Below are 4,122 nucleotides of genomic sequence, written 5' to 3' on the forward strand. Positions count from 1 at the left end.
GGTGCAGCAGGAAGGGGACCCTCCCACTGGGGCAGCTCCACCCCAGCCCCGGGTCCAGGGCCTCTGGGGAGGGATGTGGCCTTCCTGCATCACCTCCCCTGCCCTCCCTACCCCCCTTCCCTCCTTCCATGTTGGCCCCAGGACCAGGCCCCTTCTGAGACAGGGGTGTGGGGGATGCTGAGGACAGAGGGTGTCTTAGGAACCGGGAAACTGTCTCTGCAGGCCTGCCGCGCACCCCTGGTCCCAGGATGTGGGTGGGGGAGAGTGGATGTTCCTTCTCCTTTGGGGCCGGCTCTGCTCCTGCTGCCTCTTAGGCTATCTTGCAGGGTGCACCCCCTACATAGAGACCCCCTCGAAATCCAGGAAGATGCCCACTGCTCTGCCTGGTCGTCTGCTGTGAACTACTCAGGCAGCGTTCCCTAATTCACGCTGGGGTGTGAGTGATTGCCACTCGCTTATCTTGAGTCTTTGAGAGGCTTTTACATTCTTACTGAGAAACAAAACCTTCATCCCCTTGACCCAAAAGGAGCACGTGGTGATCGTCTCCTCCCCTGAAGAACAGCTGCTGAGGGCTGGGAAGGAGAAGGATAGGGACACCCCATCGGGGGTCTCTCCAAAACCTCAGCCTAGCAGACAGCGCAGCAGGCCATTTAAACTTCCTGGGCCTCAGCCTTCCCATCTGTAAAATGGAGATCTTCATAGCACCTTCTCAGCAAGGTTTTGTAGGACTGAATGTGAGAGCGCCCACAAACATCAGGGCCCCATATCCAGCATGCAGCTGGCACTCCATTAATGCTCCACTAATCCCAGTGGTGGGGACCAGTGAGTACCAGTGCTGGGAAGGGTCCAGGCCCACGGGGTCACTCATTATGGACAGGGTGGGCTTCTGGCTGCAGTCTTGTGCAGCTCACGTGCAGCTTCTCCCACCTGCTCTTCCCAGCAATGGCCTTGGCCAAACCCTCCCACACTGACCCCTGCCGGGAAGAGAGGAAGCTGCTCTGGGAAAAATGGGGAAGTGGGAAAAACTCATCGCACCTCGACTGAGACAAGAGCAGGCTGGAAGGCCGGCAGGCTCCCTGGCACCACCGAGGCCTAAGCCTGGCTGGCTAGGAGACTTCTCCCACGGCCCCAGCCTTCCGGGACTATTGTAAGCTGCCTAAAGTCTCCCTGTCACCGTGCAGGGCTGGGTGTGGCAGACGAGCCACCTCGTGTAGCCCCTGCGGCTCAGCTCACCTGCAGGAAGCAGTCGGCCCAGGACACTTCTGCCTTGGGCCCTGGACCTGCCCCGGGACTCTGATTGAGCGGGGAGCAGAGGAGGCAGGTTGCAGGTCTTTGCTGCAGACCTTAGTTCCTCCCTAGCAAGTGGGATGGGCTTGGGGCCCCACCTAGGTGGCCCTGGGGCCAACCCTGGGCAGTCAGAGGCAGCCTGGGGCTCGAAGGCCTCCTTCTGGTGGCAGCTCCCCTGCCTGTGGCCTCTGGCTAGGGCCCCATGAGCTGTCCCCAAGGCTAGGAACCAATTCTGCCTCACAGTCTCGGTAGGAACTGGCCTTGCCCACACCTTGACCTCAGACTTCTGGAGCTGTGAGACAGTAAACTCCTGTTGCCTGGATCATCCAGGCGATGGACTTGGTCAGGACCACCCCGGGTCACTAGTGCACGGCCGGGCTATATGGACTGATTGAAGGTGGAAGCACCAAGGCTGTGATGAGGGTCTCAGGATGTGTGAGCCAGGACAGGGAGAGAGAGCAGGTGGGTGTGGGTCACTGACGTAACTCTGGCTTTTGCCCACAGGGCCTGTGACTGGGCCAAACGAAGTCTGCACAAGAGAAAGTGGGAGGGGATCGCACATGCAGGAGAGAAGGGGGCCGGGCCAAGGGATCTGGCTCTGGCTCTGCGGCTCTGTGTGGGGACCCCCTCTCCTCCTCTCTGGAGGGGCCCAAGCCCTCCCTACCACCCCCGCAGTGAAGGCACAGCAGCCAGGTGGGTGAGCTGGCATATGAGCAGCTGGACGGGCCCGTCTGTGCCAGGAGGCCTGCACGACCTTGCTTCTCCCTCACAGCCCTGACAAGGACGGCTCAGATGAGGCCTGTGATGACTGCAGGCTGCAGTGTGCCAGTGACGGGGCGGGTCCCTGGGCCCGGGCAGGGGGAGGGCTCCAAGCCCTGCAGAGCCGTGGCTCCCACTGTCCCTGGGTGTGGGGGACTGTCAGAGCTCAGGCCCAGGACAGGCTGACCTGTGTGGGCCTGGCCAGTAGGATGGCTTTCCTCTGCCTGCGTGGGGTCCTGGGAGCCCCATCTGCTCTCCAGGTGGGCTAGTGGGCAGCAGCCCCGTGGTCGCTCAGTGCCCAGGTGTGACTACGAGGCTGCCTGGGACCAGGCACTGTGTGCCCTGGGAACCCTGCCCAGTGGTGAGTAAAGCAGAGACTGTCCCACCTGCTGGGGCTGCCACAGGCAGCTCGGGCTGAGCTCAGGCAGCTCAGGGGCAAGGTTAAGCCGGCCTGGAGACCGCGCTCAGCTGCCCCTCCCTGCTGGTTCCCGACAGCAGTGGCAGCTTTGCTCACCACCTGGAGTGGCACAGGGAGGTTCCAGCCCAGCCAGTCCCTGGATGGCAGGGCAGGGCCCCCACAGGCCTGGAGATGGAGCTGAGAAGATGCTGGAGCTTGGGAGGCCCAAGGAGCGGTAGGGGAAGTGTCAGGACATGAGCTGGGGGGCTGTGGGATCCTGGAGTGAGCAGGGGTCTGGGGAGATGGGCACTCATGTGACAAGGATGAACTATAGGCCAGCCAAGGACAGTCGTCCTGAAATGCAGGCTCCTGATGCAGCCGCCAGCCAAGACGAAATGTTTGCCAGCTGGAAATGAAGGCCCAGGAGGGCCCAGGTTGTGTCCCAAGTCCCAGGGTCACCCTGGGCTGGTGCCGTGCAGGCACGAGGGGCTGGCAGAGTCTGGGTGTCCTTTCCCCGCCCCAGCCTCACCCTGGGGGTGTAAGCAGGAGGCAAGTGGGCAAGGTGGGTGCAGTCTTGTCCAACCCACGGAGTGTGTGTCAGGTGGCCACGAGGCAGCCAGCGTCTGGCTGGAGGTGCTGCAGTGTCTTGGGGGAGGACCCCCCAGGGCTGAGGGAAGAGGCATGAGTTTGAGTATTCCATTGGGTTGTCCCAGCTCAGGGATCCCCGTGGGGCCTGTGGGGGCCCCTTGGGCAGGAGCCCAGGCTGGATGTGTGGTTTGGGGCTGCTCAGGTCTCTTCTAAATCCTCCCCCCATAAGCCCTGCTCCTCCCTGGCCGGCACTAGCCCAGTTGCAACCCTCAAAGTCCCCCCATAGTCACCACCTTCCTCTGGCTCCTGCCAGCTCCCAGACCCACCTCTGCCCATCAGCATGGGGTTCCAAGCAGGAGAAGAGTCTGGACTTGACCTCAGCAGCCAGTGGCTTCAACTAAAGGCAATCCCAGCTCTGCACGTCCCTTGCAGGAGAGACCCACTGAGGCAGGGCAGCATCTGGGGATGCCTTGGGGAAGCTGGCAGGGGGTACCCAGGGAGGCCTGCCTGCCTTCTGCCTTCTCCCTCAGGGCCACTAGGCTGTCTTGCATCCCCTGCAGCTCGCCCTCCCCTTCCTTGGCCACAGGAGAAGTGCTGGAGGGCCCGGCATCCGCTCAGCCCCATTGCTATGCCTTTCCTCACCTCCTCCTCTCCTGCCAGGTGGGAACCCCAGGCAAAGGAGATGCTGAAGAACTGTGCCCAGTGGTTCAGCCTCCTGGGACCAGCAGACAGCATCCCCTGGGAGGATGTGGGCCCAGCCCAGGGGTCCTCTGGGGAGATGGGGAGGTGAGCAGAACTGGTGTCCCCTTTCTGTATGGGCTGGGAAGCTTCTTGGGGGAGGTCTGGGTGCCGCCTCTGCCAGCCTCCAGGGTGTCCTGCCATCGTGGCTGGGTCCTCTGACTCCTAGCTGCTGGGGTTTGAGGCTCAGGCCCCGGACTGACCACTGCAGAGCCCAGTGGATCCCACCCCCTGGGGGTGGCTGCTCCTGGGGGCAGAGCCTGGAGCAGACACGCCCTCAACAGATGCCCCTGATCCCTGCATTTATGGAGCATGTTGCTGTGGGCCACGGCCCCGGAGCACAGGGACTTTTT

At 62.5% G+C, this 4,122-nt stretch overlaps 1 annotated feature.

Moving 5' to 3' along the window:
* Positions 2,592 to 2,761: an enhancer, noted in NCBI's record as "experimental_21169 CRE fragment used in MPRA reporter constructs". NCBI's record gives its function as "activates a minimal promoter by MPRAs in K562 erythroleukemia cells, with activity observed for both the introgressed and non-introgressed 11:3218340 variant alleles {active_cell/tissue: K562}" and the evidence as "EXISTENCE:reporter gene assay evidence [ECO:0000049][PMID:34662402]".

The sequence above is a fragment of the Homo sapiens genome, chromosome 11 (genome assembly GCF_000001405.40).
Source record: "Homo sapiens chromosome 11, GRCh38.p14 Primary Assembly".
Taxonomy (NCBI): Eukaryota; Metazoa; Chordata; class Mammalia; order Primates; family Hominidae; genus Homo; species Homo sapiens.